General features: G+C 34.6%; 1 protein-coding gene across 6 annotated transcripts in view; it reads right to left on the bottom strand.

The window, feature by feature from the left end:
* The window catches only part of TMTC3 (transmembrane O-mannosyltransferase targeting cadherins 3), a 57581-nt gene continuing 36211 nt past the window's right edge, over positions 1493–22862 (bottom strand). For all 6 annotated transcript variants that reach the window (NR_159381.1, NM_181783.4, NM_001366579.1 and 3 more), the window contains 4 exons: positions 12434–12537; positions 10758–10927; positions 8550–8776; positions 1493–6542 (listed from right to left, as the gene is read on the bottom strand). Coding sequence is in view for 5 of the 6 variants with exons in the window: in NM_181783.4 (NP_861448.2) it covers positions 5731–6542; positions 8550–8776; positions 10758–10927; positions 12434–12537 (1313 nt within the window). In the remaining variant the exon portion in view is untranslated. The remainder of the gene's footprint in view (positions 6543–8549; positions 8777–10757; positions 10928–12433; positions 12538–22862) is intronic.

Here is a 22862-nt window from a genome sequence, read left to right as displayed (position 1 = left end):
CTTGCTTTTGGTTCATATTTCCTGTTAGACTGTCATGCTTTTATTTAACTTCTCTATATCGTGTGTTTTGAAACAGCATATTGTTGAAGCTTTACAACACATTTATAATTAAATGTTATATATTTAAATATTCAAACATAAACATCAAGAGCCCCTTTTTATTTAACCCATTTATTCACTGTAATTATTGCTATATTAATTAAGTCTAACAGCTTCTGTAGTACTGCATTTTTAAATTTTCCCTTCTCCCATTATATTCCATCAGAATTTTCTTCTGATGATTTAAAAGTTCTAGATCCTTTTTTTTTTGAGACGAAGTCTCCCTTGGCCACCCAGGCTAGAGTGCAGTGGTGCAATCTCAGCTCACTGCAACTTCCACCTCCCAGGTTCAAGTGATATTCCTGCGTCAGCCTCCCAAGTAGCTGGGACTATAGGCATGCACCACCACTCCCGGCTAATTTTTGTATTTTTAGTAGAGATGGGATTTCACAATGTTGGCCAGGCTGGTCTCGAACTCCTGAGCTCAAGTGATCTGCCCACCTCAACCTCCCAAAGTGCTAGGATTATAGGCCACGAGGTGTAGAGTCTTTATGTATTTTTGTAGTATGTTTTAACCTAAGCCCATAATCATGCTTATTTGCCCTTAAACTTTGTCATTATTTTGAGTAGGTAAACCATTGGCAAGCTTTTATAATCCTTTGGTCTCTCTCCCCTACGTCTCTTCCCGGCTTCACATTGTACATACTTTTTTTTCTTTCTTACAGTAAACTTTTTATCCACTGGCCGTGCATTTGGAAGAGGTTGGGGGCAATGAATGCCTGAGAATATGATGCTTAGTAAACCATTGGGTTCACAGTTCCGGGGCTTGGAGAAAATCTGGGCTAGAGATCTGGAATATATACAGCTGAAACTACTGCTCCACAGAAAGAGAAAAAGAAGAGTGGAAAAAGAACACTAGTATTCACTAGTATTTAAGTGATAGGCAGAGAAAAAGAAGCCTGCAATGAAAACTATAGATCACTGAAGCAAATAGTCATAAAGGAAATCATGTTAAAAATTTCCATGCTGTCCACTGCCCAGGACTTTTACACACATCACTGTTAAAACTAGATCTGATTCTGCTAACAATCTGGTTACTCAATCCCACTCTCAAAGGTCAGTAACCTGGCCTGTCAGGGCCAATCCAAAACAGTTACCTGGTCAGAAGTGTTTGTTGCAGTTAGCAAGCTTTTTGAGACCTAATTTAGTTAGAAAGCAAGAATGGTAGAGAAACGCCACATCCACGAAACCCATTCTACTGCCTGAAACTTTACAAAGAAAGTGGTTCACTTGACTTAACCTTTGATATGGCTAATAAGATTCACCCATCATTTATACTTTAGTATGGGTTTGTTTAGTCAGTGTATGGTCCCAATATTTGAAACTAAACCATGGAGGCAAGCAATAAAGACAAAATTTTGACCATGCGTCTTTAAGAAAGGGCAAACTAGAATGGTTTTTTGAGGGTTATTTTATTTAAGGCAGAAACATGAAAGCATCACGTTATACGTGCTACTTGATGGAAATATGCTATCCATTGAGTCACAGAAATGTTGACGAAGAAAGTGAGTTACAAAGAAAGAACATGAATTTGCCTGGATCCAGTCTTCAGACTTTATCTTTCATTTTATGCTACCTCCCTGATGGCAGTGAACAGCACAAGGTAGTACAATTTTAAGGTGTCTCAGTTATGCATTTTAGCTTCATCCTAAGTATAATTTATCTTAGGCTATCTATGTACTTGTTAGCATAGATAGCAAAGGAACAAGCATTACTATTAGATTTCTAATCATTTGCTTGTTATCCTGTCACTGACATTACAGCTACTAGCACAAATACAAATTAAGTCATATGCATCAAATCCAAGACTTTAAGCCTTATGTTTATACTAATAACTAATATTTATTATTTGCTATGTGCTAGAAACTCTAAGCAATTTAAATATATTAATATATACAATATATCATATAAATATATAAATCCTCTTCACAATTTTAAGAGGAAAATGTTTTTCCCAACTTGTAGATGAAGAAACTGAGGACATATAGGTAGAACAATTTCCTCTAAGTTATGCCAGAGGCAATACCAGGCACATATAGAAATGAAATTCGTATAAAATTCCAAGTCTGAGTTGTTTCCTTTTCTTAATTTGGTGGTTGTCACTCCTCATGTTTGAAAATGTATCACTCTCAGAAACTTATTTAATGTCTTTCTCAGATCACTGCTAATAAATTACGTCAGCTCTTCTTCATAAAAGAAATCTCTATATACAATGTTGTATTTTTTTAACACTAAAAGGCAAGCCAGGTTATGGTTTTAAGAAGTACCAATTTAATAATGAATACTTAGAAATATGGTACACAGATACCATAGTAATATAAAATGCATACAATTTTAAATTATTTTCTTATAAACTCTCTACATGAATGGCTGGCGGCTTCCAACAGATAAACTTTTGGACAAAGGTACAAGATATTTTTGGGCATTCATTTTAAATACCATCTAGTTATCCAATTAGGAGGTTTCTAAAAAAATAAATATGACAAATATATGGATTTCTGAAGTATAAACTGACATACAAATCTATATATTTTCTTAATACTTTTCATTAAAGCATCTTTAAAGCATTCTGTAACATGAAGTTGAGAGTTCAAATTAGATGTAATGAAAAGGCATGAGGTTTTATTAGAACTGTGTAATTCACATATCAAATTTTTACATAAAAGTAAACAAACACAAAATTGAAAAGCAAAATACGTTATTTTACTCTCCAAGTTACCAATTTCAGAAAACTACTCACTGGAAAAATTAATATTCCCAATTCTGAATGTTAATAAGAAAACATGTAGGTGCAATTCCAGAAACTTAATTCTACCTTCTAAGAAGCAGTGAAGGAGTAAGGTAACACTGCCCCTTGGGGATTGTCAAAGCTTTTCTAGAACTGCTGGAGAGCTGATTCTCTTTTGAGACAGTGAGAATTAAAACTATCCATTCACCAGCATACAAACCTGTGATAAGCTCTCTTTTCCAAACTTCCATATGATCAGAACTCTGAACCATAGGTTAGTGAACTGACCTTAAATGTGCCCACCTCCTCCATCTCACTGAACAGGCAGCTCCAGAGGAAAAAAAAAAAAATCCATTATGTTTTCTCACCTGAACAGTTTGAATGAAATATCTATTTTGAAGTTATAGAGAAGAAATAATAATCTTACACAAGGGCTAGTTTGATGGAACTTAAACTCTTAAATTTCATGTAATAAATGCTAGTTATTAGAAGAATATGTTCTTTAGTGGAATTTAAACCATCAAAACTTAACTGGGTACATTACTAGTTTTAAAAGTTAACATGGGAGAAATAAAAGCATTTTCCTGCACTAATTTAGAGCAGTGGTCTTCAACTCTGACTACAAATTAGAATCACTCAAAGAGCTTTTGGAAAAACAAGCATGGCTCCATCTTCCAGAAATTTAGACTTAATTGTTATGAGGTGGATTCCATATTAAAAGTCCTCAGATGATTCTAATATGAAGTGAGGGTTGAAAACCACTGATTTAAAACAATTATTAAATTATTAATGACTTATGGTGGTCTTGATTTAAATAAATTATTTAAAATTCAAATACATGAGCACTTTTTATGTAATAGGCACAGTTCTAATAATAAGGTAATTTTTTAATAAAAATCATTGGATAACATTGATACATTTTTATCATTTGAATTATATAAATTTATTAAAATATTACTCAAACTTCTATTATAGTCTGCTGTCACAAAAGATTTCCTATTAACTTTTCTGAACTACCCTCCACTTGATACTATGGCAAAAGAGAGATCACACTCAGAAACTTTTCCTTAAGAAAGATACATGGAGAGAGCCTAAGAATTTTAAGAATTCATTTTCAAGTCACAGTACATGAGGTATTCTCCATCTTTTATCTGGAGTCACAAGCCATAACCTAAGAACTGAAATTAGGCATTGTTTTTGGATGCTTAACAGAATCTCCTAGATCAAGACCAACTCCCACTGGTATCAGTGCTTGCTTTAAACTACCTAAAAAAAAAAAAAAAAAAAAAAAAATCTATGGCAGATCCTTAGGGAACCTAGTAAGAGTGGGTCTTCTAATGCAGACCTTGTATCTTATGACCTATTTATAAAACAATTCTTAAAAAAAATACAGGATATGGTTTTTGAAACATATATAATTAGAAATTAGTTATCTCAAAGGAACTAAAAAATATATAGTTTTGAAATACTATATAATTAGAAATTACTATCCCAGGATGATAGCCAGAGCTTTCATATTTTAAATTAGAACCAACTTTTTAAGGTATTATAAAGCTCATTTAAAATGTACTTTAATTCAAGAAAAAAAATCAGGTATAAATTAGTAAGTTTAATTTGTAACTACTTTTTAACCTATTTTTCAGGTTTAAATTTGCCCAAACCAACTGAAAAATTTATTAATACTATAGTAGGCTAATTATCTTTTATATCCAGACATTAGGCCAAAAATGATACAATTCTGGTTAATCCATAATATATGCATATATAGGAAAATGCAATAGTAATTTGTTTTCCATACTTGATGATTAAAATAGCTTCAAATATTTTATGAAAGCTTAGTCAAAATAAATATTTAATAAAAAGATATACCATAACAAAATATCAAGAAGTTAGTGTTTGAAAATAAACTGTCACGTTGTTTTGCTTTCAGTCAAACAGAACTGAATTCAGTGGCTTAAGGTATCTAAGAATAATTCAATTGTGACTTTGGAAACAAAAAAATTAAAATCCAGGTTAAGACTACAGAGCTAACACAAAGATGAAAGAGAAGTTTACTACGTTATAACTCAAAAGTTTAGAGTTATTGGGACTTCTCAATGACTACGATCTAAGAAACATGAATAATTTGGGGAGTAAAAGTAAAAAAAAAAAATCATGATTATGTGATTCATGTTGTGACACTCTCAATAAGTAAAACTAAACAACAAAAAATACAGTATATATGAGCACCATTAAAAATGTGTGTATGTAGCTATACATGTGTCAAACTTTACCTGATTAAAAATTACATTTAAAGTTAAAAACAAGTATACAATTATGAAAATACATTCTCAAGCTAACATGTCATGACTTATTTTAAAATGTTTCATCAAGCATTCCTTCTAAAACTCAACTAAGGAATACAACATAAAAAAAGCCAGCATTCTTTTGTAGTGTAAATCCCTTGATTAAACAGAATTACTTAAGTGTTTTCAATTCATAGTTAGATTCTAAGAGGTGCAAGAAAAATGAAGTAGGCAAATAAATGGGAATTAACAGAATAAACCAGCACATGTTGGATTTGTCCTCAAGGGATTATCATTCAGGCCTCAAAATTATTTTTAATTGAGAGCAGTAAAGATTACATTGCCAGAAACACCTTCTTTCTATAATAAAAGTTGTAAATTTGTCACTTCCGCTGTAATATTTCTGCTATATTCACCCACACTCTGAAAACAGCGATACATAATATACATCCTGGGATAATACAGGTCTTTAATGAAAATCTTATTTTGATCCTACTTCAAGGCAGCTCATGATTGACCATTAGGAACCCTTGAACTTTTTTTCAAAGCTCCCAGTAAAAGCAATCACATGATACGGATTGATGTTCTTTGATACCATTGTCACGATAAATATTAATGTTATTCACCATTTAAAATACGTTCAATCTCTTCTAGTCTTTTTAAAGCAGCAACTCTTTTCTTCTCAATTTCTTTGATGTCTTTTGTTGTTTTGTGGGGTGTCTCTTCGTCTCCATTTTTTCCTAATTGTTTGTTGGATTTAGACTGACTTTTATTATCACTTGTTTTTACTATTTGTGTTTGTCTGGATTCACCTCTAATTTCTTTTACACTTTCAGTTGGAATTTTCTTTCCTTCCACACTTGAAATCTTACTGGTTGGGAATATTGGCTCTATAAAACTAGATGAGGAAATCTTATCCCTGACTATATTCAAATGGCGCTGAATATATTCTTCATGTGGTGCTAATGCCAGTGTTTCAAGAAGGCATCTTTCAGCTTTTAATAAGTCTTTTTCTTCAAAATAAACAACACAAAGATTGTGTTTTCCTTGCACATTGCTTGGATCCATCTCCAAAATCCTTTCAAAACATTTTTTTGCTCCTAGTATATCTTTCTTTTGATTCATCAGAATGTCTCCTTTTAAAATGAGGCCCTTGATATGATCAGGGTAGTATCTGAGTAACTCCTCCAAAATTGGCAAAGCCTTTAATTCCTTTGCAGTCTGGGAATACAGGAGAGCCAGATTAAACAAAGCACTTCGGAAGTCGGCTTGTAACTTTATGGCTTTCTTCATCCAAATCTCTGCTTCATTGTCCTTTTTGTCATCCATGGCAAGCATTCCCAAATTGAAATACCCATTAGCATCTAGTGGCTCTTCATTTATATAACTTAGAAGTCGTTTTCTAGCTTCAGGTCTGAGTTTAACCTCACCTAGAAAGTTTTTTTAAAGAAAAAATATATTGTTAATAAAATAATTAAATGTGAGGAACAAAGCCATTTTCAAATACTTAGATTACAAAAAGACAGCTTCAAAACAACTAATTTCCATAGTTAAAAAAAGTAGAAAGCAAAAATCTCGAAGTCTTCATAGGAAAAGCAAAATATTTGAAACAGTAAAAAGATAGCTTATTTCTTTTCCTTTAAAGCAGTAACAGTGCTTCAGAAACCAAAAGGAGAGAAATGTCTCTTATAATTTAGAATTCAATTGGAAATAGAAGGAAAATAGAGAATTCAGAAAAAGAAGCATGGGATTTGCCAACAAAGACATGTATTCAATCTTGATTCTGATAACATTATGACTTTATACACTGAACATGTTACTTAACTTCTCTGGGTTAACTGAGTTTTCTAATAATTGTATGTTGTATATCGAAAAAATGTTCAGCAAATAGTAACTATTACTGGGTAGAAAAAAGCTTCAGAATGACTGTATCACATTTTAAAAAATGTTACTTCAAAGTTTTAGGAATGTTTCGAGGACAAAAACATACCATTAAATATAGGGCTATAAAATTAGGATTTAGGAAACATGTATCTTCTTTTTTTTGAGACAGGGTCTCACTATGTCACTCAGGCTGGAGGGCAGTGCTGTGTCCACAGGTCACTGTAACCTCAAACTCCTGGGCTCAAGCAATCCTCCCACCTTGGCTTCCCGAGTAGCTGGGACTACAGGCATGTGCCATCATTTCTTGCTGATTTTAAAATTTTTTGTGGAGACAGAGTTTTACTATGTTGCCTAGGCTATTCTCAAACTCTTGGCCTCTAGTGATCCTCCCCACCCTGGCCTCCCTAAGTGTTAGGATTACAGGCATCAGCCACTGCCTGGCAGGAAACAAATCTCCATTGAGATAATTTCTATTGCAAAAAAAAAGCCAAAAAAACAAAAAAGTTCAAGTTCTACAATTACAAACCTTATAGTACAATCTTGTGTCGAATAATGAGCATCCTTCATGATTATCAAGGTAGAAAACCTTACAAAAATATTAGCTTTTCTCCAAATTTCTACTTTTTTGGACACCAGGCATAAAGACTTCTCTCTATTCTTTTATTTGGCAGCACGATGGATAAAGAAAATTTGAAAATAAATCAGGAGGCTTCAGTTCTTGTCTTGGGTTACCTATTTAGCCATATGACTTTGGGGCAGTCATAAAATCTATTTGGTTTTCACTCTACTAAATAGAAGACTGGCAAATGCAAACTCAAAGGTCCTCTTTAGCTCTAAAATACTACGACTTTATGATTCTTTCATATTTTACAAAAGTTTTACGAAATGTATCTAAGAAATAACTAAACATTATAATAGATTTTTCTAATTTATAAATTAAAAAGATTATAAATCATATACACTATCTTATGAGGCAGAACTGAAATTCCTATATAAAATATGGATGAAGGATCCAGATTTACTGTGGTTAATAATTTAGTTTTGCTAAATTATAGGAAATATAAAAAATTACAACATCTCAGAAAACGTAGTAAAACTGGATATAAAATGGTGCCAAAAGTATTTGCTCTTATGAATCAAAAGAAAATAAAATGCTATTTTTTTGAAAACATATGCTCTTGGCTCCTCACAGCCAATTATGTAAAAAATTTCACAAGTTCATATTATTTGGAGAGTTTATATATAAGTTACATTATGTTTATGTATATAAAATGACAAAATAGTTAATGTTGCTTAATAGACTGCCTGAAAAATTAGTCTTAACACATGCCAGAAGAATTAAAAATCAGTATTATCATATGTTAGAATGCATGTTACTTGAAAATAGTTTACTTCAAGTATTTTAAATATTCTTTCTATAAATCAGTTAAGCACAGTATTGCTATAAACTGTCAATACATAAAGTGTTTGCTATGGGTAATAAAGTTAAATTAAGGTCTTATTATATTATAAACTACAATTTATATAAACAGAAATATTTTGAGAAAACATACCTGATTCTTGCATTACTATAGCAGAGTTGAATAATGCTAGTTTATGCTTTGGATTTAGTTCCAGAGCACGATTAAAGTTTTTTAGGGCTTCATTTGGTTCTTTAAGTTCAATATGTACAATTGCCAAGTTGTACCAAAGATCTGCATTATTTCTGTCCAGCTCTAGTGCTTTAAGATATGCTTCCTTTGCTTTAAGAGGTTTATTCATTTTTAAAAGCAATTCTCCTCTGTGGAAAAATCAAACACAAGCTTTACTTACAACATTACCATCTCAGTTTGTAGATACAATTTTTGCCAAGTTTTAAGCCTTTCCACATACAGCTTTTTTTTCTCTTAACTCAGACTCTTAAAAAACTCTCTTTCGAAAACAACTCTTTGAAACTGTCCTCAAATCTGAACTCCTTAGTTCAGTATATTTGGCTTGATATATTTTCAAATATTATTTAAGAAGAAAAAAATTATGCCTGATTTCAGAGGGCAACCTATCAGGAGGAATCCAGGAAGGAGGACAGAGCAAATATATTCTTTGACTTTATCTTAAAAAGGAGACAGACTAAACTGCATCAGAAAAAGGGCAGCTAGCCAGAGTGAAAGATTAATGAATTTGTCAGGTGACAAAATAACAGCATTAGAAGAAAAAAATGACATATAGTAGTGGTAAGAGAAATTCCAATATTTGAATGTATAATAGAAGGCTCACTATGCAAAAAACCAAAATATTAAAAATCTGTAACCCCTTCTTATATTAATTTAGTCCTCATCAATGTCTTCTTATAATACGACCATTCTTAAAAAAAAAAAAGAAAAAAAAAAAAAGAAAAATGCTGGGCATGGTGGCTCGTTCCTGTAATCCCAGCACTTTGGGAGGCTGAGGTGGGCAGATCACTTGAGGTCAGGAGTTGGAGACCAGCTGACCAACATGGCAAAACTCTGTCTCTACTAAAAATACAGAAATTTGCCAGGCATGGTGGCACGCGCCTGTAGTCCCAGCTAATAGTGAGGCTGAGGAACAAGAATTACTTGAACCCAGGAGGCAGAGGTAGCAGTTAGCCGAGATCACACCACTGCACTCCAGCCTGGGTAACAATGTGAGACTCTGTCACAAACAAACAAACAAACAGAAAAAGGACTAAAAAAAAGCTGAACAGGTAGAGTGGGAGGGATTAATCTGACCTGTAGATAACTTTGAGGAACACACTTAGAATTGAGGACCAGTTAAGAAACCATTGTATAAATCTTTCTAGTGTGGTTCTATTTTCTGTTAGAAAATTTTAAAAAGTAATTTTGCTTAAAGAATTATTTTTACATATGTACAAATAATATTTAAGTAGTGATATGAGAGTTGTTCTTATAATACTACTCTTTCCTATAGTATCAGCACAGAAATAAAAGGAACAACAATTAATATTCTCATTAAAACCACTTCTAGAATGAATGTTTGTCCAAAATATTATTTTTTTAATGTAGAGATTGTTGAATAGTTCTTTATGAATTAATACATGACAGGTGTTATTTATAGATACAACCCTGCTAATAAACTCAATAGGCACGGCGGAACAAAGAAAACCCCAACTTACAAACAGATTTTATCTCAAAAACTTAAATTCAGAATGTACTTTCCCCAAAGGAAAAAATGTTACAAATTACTATTAGTTTTCTGGACCAGGCTACAAAACGAAGTTTAAAAACACATTTTTCCTCAAAAGTAATACAAATGATAACACATACATGAGAAAATAAATGAAGTTTTAACATGTGGTGCCAGAAAACTTTTTTTTTTGCTGAGAACCAAGATGTTTTCTTTGTGTCAAAGGCATCAATAACCAATCAACTCTAAAAACAAGAAAGTTCCTGAGAGTTTGATATTAGAAGTAACTATTATAAAATGTAAGTTTCAAGTTTTAATTTAAATAGGAAAAGAACAATTTTGGTGATGGGAAGAAAATGCAACTAAGACAGAGCTGCTTCTACCCTTTCCTTAATACAAAACCTAAGTTGGCTATTACAAGTTAGGGATTCCCCTTGTTAATTTCAAATCAATAAAATCTGACTGTCAGTCTAAAAAGTTATGCTCTTCTATGCACTTGGTTGCTAAGTAAGATTATTAAAAACATAATTTTTTTTCAAAAAAAACCAATTCATTCAAAATGTACATGGAGATGCAGTTTCAATATTCCATAATGATAGCTTAAAGTTGAACTGGGATACCTGCTAATGTAAGCCTGCTTGAAGTCGGGCCTCATGCTTATTGCTTGACGGTACAGCTGATCTGCTTCTTCCAGTCGGGACTCATTTGCTCGGATCAGGTTAGCCAGATTGATATAAACATTTAGGTGGTTAGGGGCAATTCTGGCTGCATATTTTTTACCAGGAATAATCTGTTTAGAAGAAAAGGCATTTTCATGATTTGATATTTCAGTATCAAAAATCAAAAGTACATATTCCTATTGGCTAATTCAAAATAACTCAGAACATACTGTAAAAAATACACTGGACTGAGAGATCAGGGTTCTACTCCTGTTTTGACTAAACCTAAGATACCTTGACTTCTAAAAGTTCTGATTTGTTTGACTTCAGAAAAAGACAGATACAAATAAAAAGCTAATAATCCACTGAGGTGGCATGAATGAAAAAATATATCCTTAATGCCACAAAGTACTATTTTATTTACATTTTTGAGGATACTGTAAGTAAAATATTTTTATTCACATTTTTGTGTGTGTTTTCTTTTACATTTTTATTATTTATTTTTAACAAAGTGGTAAAATTAGTGGCATAGTCTTATGTCCTCAGAAAAAATAGCTTAAGCTGGGCTGAAGTTTTCTCAATTGTAATAATATTTATAGTAATATTAATAGTGATAGGATAGTTAATTTTTTTTAAAGTTGAACTGTATGACATTTTAAGGATTATTTTAATCCTTAACTGTAACAGTTAAATTGTATTTGTTATTGGTTTTTATCATATCTAATTTATTGTGTTCACTGGAAGTCTCGATCCATATATACTATGTATTATAAAAACCTTAACTTAATAATCAGACTGTTTAATTTCCAAACTTCACCAGACAAGTGAGTCCTTAGTATTCTGGAATAAATTAACTATCCTACGGTCACAACCCAGAAATATTTTGCTGATAACATGAAAATTGACATAGGGTAAGATCTTCCAATTTCGATACTACCTTATATTTAATGAATCTTATTCTAACAACTGATGGACACAATATAGTAAGAGATGTATCTACTAATTTTATCACTTTATTTTTTGATAGGAATAATGTTGAACTGTATGCTTAATATACATAAATAAAATTATATTTATTTAAAGTCATTAACTTGCTGATAACTCATAATCAAGAATATCTAAAATTCATACTTTATGAATTTAGTTTTTACAAATGGACTATAAAAACAATTTTTAAAATTAAGTGAGCTACGGCCGGGCGCAGTGGCTCATGCCTGTAATCCCAGCACTTTGGGAGGCTGAGGTGGGCAGATCACGAGGTCTGGAGTTCGAGACCAGCCTGGCCAATATGGTGAAACCCTGTCTCTACTAAAAATACAAAAATTAGCCGGGTGTGGTGGCAGGCACCTGTAGTCCCAGCTACTTGGGAGGCTGAGGCAGAAGAATCACTTAAACCTGGGAGGCAGAGGTTGCAGTGAGCTGAGATCGTGCCACTGCACTCCAGTCTGGGCAATACAGCAAGACTCCGTCTCCAAAAAAAAAAAAAAAATTAAGTAAGCTAGAAAAATGTAATTCTTTATAAAACTTACTTTTATATCAACTAACTGAAGAAAAGATAAAGATTTTCCTTCTAGATAATTCTATTCAATATGGACATCTAATAGATATGACACAATAGATAAATTATGGCAACTTACTTGAGGCATCAGTGATTTAGCCATCATGTAAGATTCTTCAGCTTCTTTGGTTCTATTTAAATTTTTATAAGTTCTTCCTACATTCATATGGGCACCAATATCATCTAAAATTTTAAAACAATCATTTGTTGGCAAGTATACAACTGATATATTCAATATACTCAATGAAATGATTAAATGTATTTGATATATAAACAAGTATTCAATGTAACTAATGAGAAGACATATTTCCAGAAACAAACACACTAGGCAAAAATGCAAAAGCAGGCAACAGGTCCTGCTTCTTCCTTAAAGTTCTTGTAATTTAACTTGTTATAACTTAAAACCAATGGTATACACAAAATTACTTAAAGCATGTAAAGACAGAAAATACATACATGGCATGAAAAAACTATTTGAATGGATTTTTGAAGAGTTGAGACATAAGAGAGATAAAGGTAATGAAGAAATTTTTATTACCTTCCTTCATTGTATTTTACTACACTAAAGCTTGCTTCCAGAGATAAAGGTAATGAAGAAATTTTTATTACCTTCCTTCATTGTATTTTACTACACTAAAGCTTGCTTCCATTTACTTAATCTCATAGCTTAGGAATTCACTCAAAAGGTACAGCTCAACTCTACAAGTAAAATGAATCATCAGGATTTTTAGAATTATTTCAAGTGTTATAACAAATATGCATCATGGTGGAACAGGGGCAAAGAGACTGAAAAAAAACTTTGCCATTCGATTTTTAAAAATTTTTGTGACTGTGGCTAGAATGAGAGTATAATGGAACATAATGATAATAGTATTACTTAAGATGCAGTGGCCCAGCTCTTTTAAATGATAATTAACTCCTTAAAATTAATTTTAGATTTTTTTAAAAGGTTGTGTTAATTTTAGAATGTCAGGAACTTATGTCTCATTTTCTGATGTGGAAAGTAAAAATCCCAGCAAATTTATTCAGGGATAGGAAAAAAAATGTAGCTGAAATAGGAAAGAGATGAGGATTCATTGTACAGTAGCTTTTTAAAAAGATATACTTGCCAGTAAATATTTCAAAGGTTTGGAATAATGATAGAAGGAAGGTAGAAGATCTTAAATCAGACAGTTTATACTCAACACGAACTAAAATACATGAAAAGGTTCATTATGATTACTACTTGCCTTGTGATACCAATTATTTTGCAATTGTGCAATAATTCTTTGCCTGCAACTCCTAGGACACATAGGGGCCAAGCATATATATCTTGGGCATTCCCTGAGTAACAGTCCTAAGAACTTGCTATATAATGTTTTAGGCTGGCAATTGTGTGCACTGCACAAAAACTGGCAGATGCGGTCCAGGTTTGATTATAGATAAGTTTAGGAGTAAGGAAGTAGATTTTTTTCTTTTTAGATGTATTGCTGAGTCTCATGGAGCCAGGAGGGGTCAAGCAAAAAAAACGTTTAAGCTAGCCATTCTTAATTCTGGCTGCAAATCAGAATACCTGTGTAGTTTAAAAAAAAGTCAGATACTTCAGCCCCACCTAGGTCCATCAAAACATAATGTTCAGAAATGAAATCTGCAAAAATATGTTCATAAAAAGTGTCAAAGGCAATTCTGATGTAGAATCAGGGCTGAAAATCATTGTATTATCCAATTGCATATAAAATATGCAGTATAGTGATTAGATCAGGGTATTTGCTTGCATTATATGTATCAAAACATCACTATATATCCCATGAATATGTACTATTATTGTCAATTAAAAATATGGGGTAGTCTTTGCTTTTATATCTTTTTTTTTTTTTTTACCAGATAAATCCATACCATATGTTTATAGAGCTCAGAATGTTATTTAGGAAAAGCTAAGGTACATAGAACCTGAAAAAATTATACACTAAGAATTTAAGAATAAACTGAAAATTTGTTAAAATAAAACTGTAATTATGCCAGCTGAGTATTTAAAATGTTATTGAAATTATCCCCAACCAATGTTAGAAAAGAAAGAGGTTATATACTTAGATAAAAAATGAGGTGAATTACTATCCATTGAAATCATGCTCTTAGAATTAAGGCCAGGAGATATTGTCATTAATGTAGACTTCAGACACTAGAGTATAGCAGCCCTATGTTTTCAAAGAGCAGAGATGCAATTAGATATTGTTTAGCATCAAAAAGGCCACTCAATACAGCTAATAAAATGAAAGACCTAATTTCTAAGCAATTCTTTATAATTTACAAAGTTTTAAGATTCTAGAGGGTAAAATAGTATCACTTTTAAGATAAATTTAAGTATTAACAAAAGGTAAGAAAAGAAGGCAAGATGTAAAAAATCAATGACATTTAAATGACTAAAGAAACTAAAGGAACTTCAAAGAACAAGCCCACTCTTACCAGTACCTATCCAAAACAACAGCAGCATGAGTTAACAATCTAGCTTTTAATTCAATGGTAAATGAGGACCTCACAAATCTCAAATGTAGTCTCAGTTTGTCAATACTAGGTTTCTATAATCAGTTAATTTTTCCAGAATCCTAGTTGAGTCTCTTTCATTTCTTATCTCTCCTCACATCTCTAATATCATATTTTCACTAGGAAAACAAAGGAACTTTGTTTAGAAGGGAACTTACCTCACTGCTAAAGGTTATCAACTTACCTGCATGAATGTTTGCATGTGTTTTTAATAGTAACAAACACCTGTGTACACAGGTTTACAGTCACCATTTATTTGAAATGACAGTAGTTATTAGACACTGGTTCACATATGATCTCAGTCATCCTGCCTAGGGATGCAAATGTGATGTGGCTGGGAAGTTTTCAGGCAACTGTGTATGACTAATACACAGCTGCCCAACAGTGAAATATTAGCTGCCCAACAGTGAAGTATTCTCACATTGATGGCTTAGGCAATTATGTAGAGTTTCAGTATTTCCTGTCCACAAAATTATCAATTTATTTAAAAAAATAAATTTATAAATATCTGGAATCTCCTAGGAACTCTCTATCCTTCATAAATATAGATGTAAAAATTACTAATAGCATTTTAACAAATAAAATATAATAAAGATAATAAGTCACAATCAAATTGTGTATTACTGAAGGCAAGGTTGTTTTAACATTATGAAATCAATTGATGATATCCACTGTATTAACAGACAAAAAAAATAAAAACCTTATCATCATCTCAAATGGTGCACAAAAGCATTTGACAGAATCCAACATTTACTTGTGTTAAAAATTCTCAGCAAATGAAGAATTAAGAAAGGCAGGAGAGCTCTCCTATACTGCTGGTGGGAAATACATTTTTTGGAACATAATTTAGCAGCCTTTAAAAAGTTAAACATACAGAAATCATATGACCATGCCATTTTTCTCTCAGGTTTTTACCTAAGAGAAATGAAAACATATATCCATAAAGACTGGTATATGAATGTTCGTAACAGCCATGTTTGTAACAGCTCCAAACTGTGAACAATCCAAACATCCATCAACAGGTAAATGGATAAACAAACTGTGGTATATCTACGTGAAGGAATACTACTCAGCCATACCAAGGTATGGGTTTTTGATTCATACAACAACATGAATGAGTATCAAAATAACTGTGCAGAGTAAAAAAGCCAAGAAAAAAAAAAAAGAGAGAGTCCATAGAGTATAATTCCATTCATACACAATTTTAGAAAAAGCACATTATCTGTAGTGATAGAAAGCTTTTGCTTAGAGAAGGCTGGGGTGAAAAGGGGTAAGAGGGAGGTATCAGAAAAGGATCCAAGGAATTTGAGGGGTTGATGGATATTTTCAGTATCTTAATTGTAATTATGGTCTCACAGATAATATACATATGCCGAAACTTATCAAATTATGTATTTTAAACATGTATAGTCTATTGTATGTCACATGTACTTCAAGATTGCTATTAAAAAATTACAACTCAATCATGTCTTTGGGTTACTGCAAAAGCCTTCTAAATGATCTTCCTGCTTTTCTTCACTGTTTTCTGCATAGCCAGTGATACTTAAAATTACACCAGAGTATATGTGCGAAGGTTGCTCTGTTTATTATCATCTCGAAGAGACTTTCTCTGAAAATTTCTAATCTCTATGCCCTTTTTATAGCTTTTATCACTTTCATATAAATACACATGTGCATGCATATGTGTGTGTGTATATATATATTTTGTGTGTGTGTATATATATATATATTTACATGTGGTGTGTATTTGTTTACTTATGTTTATGCCTTTATTTAGAATGGAAACTCCACGAAGGGAGGAAATTTGTTTTATTTCTTCTGGATTCCCCAGCACTTAAAACAGTGTCTTGACACATGGTAAATTCTCAAATACGTGCCCAATGAACAAATATACCTACAGAGCCATTTGCTATCCATTCTCTTTCAGCCTTCTTCCCTGCATTATACATCACTTTTTTGCCACCTCCTGTAGGAGTTTGGTCAGGGTGGTGGGAAAAGTTGTAAGAAAAAGTTATAGGGAAAGATGCAAACCTTCTTGGAAGGCCAGGAGGCTTTGCAAAAGCTTCCGAAGGGAATTATGGCTGAAGGCCGCCAGATTCTCTTATCAGGAGTCTGAGAGAAAAGAGTAGATAAGGGAATGTAAAGGAATTTATCTAGATAAATTTGTTTACTCCTTTCTCTAGAAATCAACCTTTGATTATTCATGCACAGGACTGCTCTCTACTTGGGGGGTCGACAATGTTCATTACCCACAAATTGTGTTTGCTCCAAGCCTTTATCATTAAATCTGAACTAAATAAATGCTAGCAGGGCTGGCTTAGGGGGGCTGCACTCTCTTGGTGGCTGCTGCACTCTCTTGTTGGTGGTGCTGAGCCATGCGGTCCCCTAGCCACGCTGTCACGCAAAATTCCTGTGTCAGTGTACTTCTTTCATCCATCACTCGGCCAGAGTCTGTGGGACAGACTCGGCAGGTGGTGCCCCGTGTGAGGAAGGCTGCAATGGATTGCGATGGAACCCTCAAAAACGAAGGTTAAGAGACTGCACAGTAAGTCATTGGTGCCCGCTTGGGATTTCCAAGTTCGAGGGAATTGTTCAGGCTAGGGTTTCATCATGGGACAGTGGTTGTCAGCTCAACAGAAACAGTATATAAAAGTACTGAAACAGCTGCTTAAAGCTAGTGGAGCCCCAGTTTCGCAGGCTCAATTAAGGGACATAATGCAAACTGCTGTTTCCCATAACCCATGGTTCCCAGAAGAAGGTATGCTAGACATAGGGCTCTGAGAACAAGTGTGGAGAAATCTTAACATCATGCCCAAGGATATCAGGTCCCAGTAGCATCTCTAATGTTATGGCCCTTAGTTAGGGCTGCTTTGGTCCCGCACTACACAGAATAACCTAAAAAGGGAAGGGAGGAGAAACCGTCACCTACCTTACCGCCTCCTCCTTCTCCCTCAGCCCCACCAGTAAAGGGCAAAAATACCAAAGGGGAAACAGAGGTTTTGCCTGAGGCCCCTCCTCCAATAAATTGGAAGAAAGACAAGGGATACACTATAGCTATGGGACCCTGTCTTAGGTAGCAGCATTAGAAGGGGAGCTCTTAGCCTGCCTGGCAATGCAAGATCAACAAGGCAATGGGGTATATGAACTCATTACTTTCGGCACTTATAAAGAGATAAGGAAAAGCATTAAAGAAAACAGCTGCTAGCCCATTTATGAGAGGGTTAACTGAGGTCATTCTGCAGACCTCTTTCTAATAATGGCCACTGTTATTCCTCTCCTCCCCCTGACATGGCTCTCTCAAAATCCTATTTGGGTAGAACAGTAGCCTTTAAAGGGAGAAAAATTACAAAGAGCCCATGAATTAGTTGGCCCATGAATTAGTTGAGGAGCAATTAAAAGCCAGCCATACAGAACCGTCAAACAGCCCTTGGAATTCGCCCATTTTCATCATTTCCCAAAAGTCTGGCAAATGGAGATTTCTGCATGACTTACGGGCTATCAGTGCTAATTTGTAACCTATAGGGCCCCTTCAACAGGGTCTCCCTTCCCCCGTGGCGATTCCTCAAGATTGGCCTGTAGTCATTATGAACTTAAAGGACTGTTTTTGTACTATTCCCCTTGCAGAACAGGACAGAGAAAAATTTGTGTTTACAATACCAGCTATCAATAATGAAAGGCCAGCTCACTGATTTCATTGGGAAGTGCTTCCTCAAGGGATGCTGAACAGTCCTACCATGTGTCAGTATCATGTAAATCAGGCTTTGCTCCCAAGTAGAAAAGAATTTCCTAAATACAAGATTATTCATTTTATAGATGATATTTTACTAGCATCCCCAACGGAGCCAGTACTTTTAAGTTTATAAGCCTCTGTCGTAAAGAATACATAGCTAAGAGGTTTAGTCATAGCACCTGAAAAAGTACAATTGTCTTCTCCTTGAAAATATCTTGGATACATACTAACTTCCTGGTCAGTTAGACCTCAAAAGGTTAAATTAAATACTATCAACTTGCATATCTTAAATGATTATCAAAAATTACTGGGCGATATTAATTGGCTTTGCCCCATCTTGGGCATAACTACTGATAAGTTACATAACCTGTTTTCTATCCTAAAGGGCAATACAGCCTTAGACTCTCTCAGGTATTTAACTCCTGCAGCAAAAAGGGAAATTGAAAAAATAGAGCAAGCTGTTTCTCAGAGGTAACTAGATTGCACAGACCTGCAATATTCAGTTCAATTGTTTGTTTTCCCTACTAAACATTCCCCAACAGGATTAATAGGACAGACAGCCCCAGGGCTATGCTTCCTAGGATGGGTTTTTTGCTCACGTACTGGGACTAAAACACTATCTCCCTATATCCAGCTAGTTAGTAAAGTCACCTATACAGGCTGCAGATGATGCAATCAGTTTCTAGGTTATGACCCTGATGTCATAAGAATTCCTTTGAGTAAAAAGCAACTCGAAGCAATATTGCCCCTATCTCTAGATCTTCAGATAGCACTCTCTAATTATGCAGGCCATGCAGAGCATGCCCTTCCTGCTGACAAACTACTTCAGTTCTTTTCTCGTACTCCTGTAGTTGTGTCTACACAAGTAGTTCACTCCCCCATACCCAATGCTTTAACGCTTTTCACTGATGGCTCTGGTAAAAATGGAAAAGTGGCTATTTGGTGGAAACTGCATAATTCCCTCACTTGTTCTGGATTTACCAGCACTCAGAGAGCTGAGGTTGGAGCCTTAATATTGGCCCTGGAGACCTTTTCTGCTCAGCTTATCAATATTGTTAATGACTCTGCTTACTCTATTTATTACAGAAGCTTAAGACAGCCCTCATTAAGTCCACTCTCGAGCCCACCTGTGTACACTTTTTCTTCAACTTCAGCAATTGCTGGATCAATGTACATATCCTATTTTTAACACACATACTCGAGCCCACAGCTCACTGCCTGGCCCACTGGCTTATGGCAATGAACAAGCAGACCTGCAAGTTATGACGTCACTGCTTGACCAAACCACCCAATTGCATCAATTTTTCCACCAAAACTGAAGAAACTTAACTAAACAATTTCAACCTACCCAAAGACTAGCTAAACAAATTATTTTACAATGCCCACATTGCCAACTCACAGGCATGTCTCCTCCTTCAACAGGTGTTAACCCTAGAGGACTAGAACCTAATCGGTTATGGCAAACAAATGTTATTCACATCCTTGAATTTGGAAAACTTAGATATACATGTATCCATTGATACCAATTCTCACCTAATTAGCACACATGCTCTTCCTGAAGAGTCCTCCCAATATGTTATTAAACATTTTCTCTTAACTTTTGTGTTTATGGGGTGGCCCACAAAAATTAAAACTGATAATGGTCTGGCTTATGCCAGCTCACAATGTCAACAATTTTGTCACACGTGGAACATCCAACATTCCACAGGTATCCCTTATAACCTCAAGGACAGGCCATAGTAGAACGTGTCCACTCTACCCTTAAAAATATGCTCAAGAAACTAAAAAGGGGGAATATGAGTAAGGATCCTGCAACACTATTGGCACAAGCCTTATTTACCCTTAATTTTTAAAATTTAGATGATAAATTTCAATCAGCCATAGAAAAGCATTTCACTAAAGTTCTTCAAAACATAAAACCTGTGGTTTTATGGAAAGATGTAAATAGTAATGTATGGTGTGGTCCAAATGATTTGTTGACATGGGGAAGAGAATATGCTTGTGTTCACACCCCCTCAAGTCCTCTATGGATTCCAGCATGATGCATCAAACCATACTATGGTGTCGCTAGGACCCAACCTGGTACCAGAAATGAAGGAAACGACCCTGCAGCACCTGCAGCCCCAGAAGATGCGGTTTTCTTGAATGACACAAGCCCCAAACATTACCTGCGGGATGCTGAAGAAGATAACTCAGGAGGCTGAGGGAATCCTGTTCTGGACACAGACACCATTCACTCCAGATAATTTGTTCCTTACTATGCTTTCTGTTGTACATTACAACTCTCATAGGACATTGGTTTTTCTTATTCTCTCACTTTTCCTGCTATCTGTACCTGCTACTCTCTATTAGGCCCATCTTCTAAATCCGCCTTTCTTTCACCCTGTTACCTGGGCAGACACCCCCTTCCCGGCCTCTAATAACGTAACTGCTTGGCTAGGAGGGATTAACATACCCCCAGTGGGGTTCCTTAGTAATGACACACACTGGACTGAGGTGCCAAGTAACACTACATGTCACTCCTTAATTGGAAAAGAATATTACTGATTATACTCATGTTTGTCTTATGTTATTTACTAATTCTAGGATGCAAAGCCGGAATACGAGTGTTAACTGCTGTGCCTGACAAACCTGTTGCTGCACACATCTGTACTCTTCAATCAACAAAACCTGATGCAAAAAACAGAAAAGGGTGAGATGTAGGAGTTCGGTCAGGGTAGTGGGAAAAGTTGTAAGAAAAAGTTATAGGGAAAGATGCAAATCTTTTTGGAAGGCCAGGAGGTTTTGCAAAAGCTTCAGAAGAGAATTATGGCTGAAGGCAGCCAGATTCTCTTATCCAGAGCCTGAGAGCAAAGGGTAGATAACAAGGGAATGTAAAGGAACTTATCTAGATAAATTTGTTTACTCCTGTCTCCAGAAACCAATCTTTGATCATTTGCGCACAGGACTGCTCTCTACTCCGGGGGTTGACAATGTTTATTACCCACAAATTGTGTTTGCTCCAAGCCTGTGTCATTAAATCTGTATTAAATAAATGCGACCGGGGCCTGCTTACGGGGGCTGCACTCTCTTGGTGGCTGCTGCACTCTCTCATTGGCGGTGCTAAGCTGTGCAGTCTCCTAGCCACACTGTCAGGCAAAATACCTGTGTCAGCATACCTCTTTCATCCATCACTCAGCCAGAGTCTGCAGGACAGACTCAGCAACCTCCTTTCCTGGCTCCAGTGAAAATAATGCCATTAATACTTACCAGCTCATATTTATTGAATATACATTATTGCCTAGAAACTGGCCTAAGTCTTATATAACCAGTATTTAACATAACCCATACAAAAGAATGGAGGTATTATTACTCCAAATTTATAGATAGAAAACTTAGAGTGATTGAACTAAATTTGAGAAAAGGTCTGATGCCAGAGTCCAAACTTTTAACTAACCATCACACTAGTTGTCCCTCTTAACCTTATCCTGGTCACTGTCTTGCCCCGTCTAAACTATCTAAGATACAGTAAAATAACATGTCATTTCATCTGTCAAACCCATCTAGGAAGAATACAGCTTAAAAAAACATGGAATAAGCCAAGAAACCTCAGATGCCACATTCAATATTTCTAAGTTTAAAAAACGCTTTATTCATAATATAATAAACTGGTTTACTTGTTTTCCTATCTCATGGCTTATGATTAATAGAAACAGCAATTCTCAAAGTGTGATAGTGAAGTCAAACTGAAGAAAGGTTCAGCAAATATCTCAAAAACAGCAATTAGTGACAATTGACAATGAGGGGGAAAAATTATTTAAAAACTGAGTGTCCATGTCTGCAACATCCTGTGATAGGCACACTATTCACTAGACAAAACTGAATGTGTACACACACCCCACACACACTTAACTTAGTATTTACAACAATACTGTGAGACAGAAATTACTATCCCATTTTAGAAACAAGAAAGAAGAGTCTGAGGGGCCTAAGTAACATCTCAGTCTCAAAGCCCTTGTGTGCCTGACAATCAAAGATGGCTGCTTCTCTAAAAACTCTTAGAATATAATTAATCCATGCATTGCACATCTCAAGACTTAAGAAAGTAATTAATTAAAATATTTAGAGACTGCTGACTGCGTATAGGACCCTACTTGATGATGCAGGGGTACAAAAATGAATCAGATGTTCCTGCTACCCCAAGGAAGCTCCACAGTTTAAATAAATAAATATTTTAAATAAATTTGTATTTAAATAAATAAAATATAGCACTAAATAG

This window comes from Homo sapiens, chromosome 12, assembly GCF_000001405.40.
Source record: "Homo sapiens chromosome 12, GRCh38.p14 Primary Assembly".
NCBI classification, from domain to species: domain Eukaryota; kingdom Metazoa; phylum Chordata; class Mammalia; order Primates; family Hominidae; genus Homo; species Homo sapiens.
The sequence above is the reverse complement of the archived record's forward strand: the minus strand, read 5'-3'. Positions and strand labels throughout refer to the sequence as shown.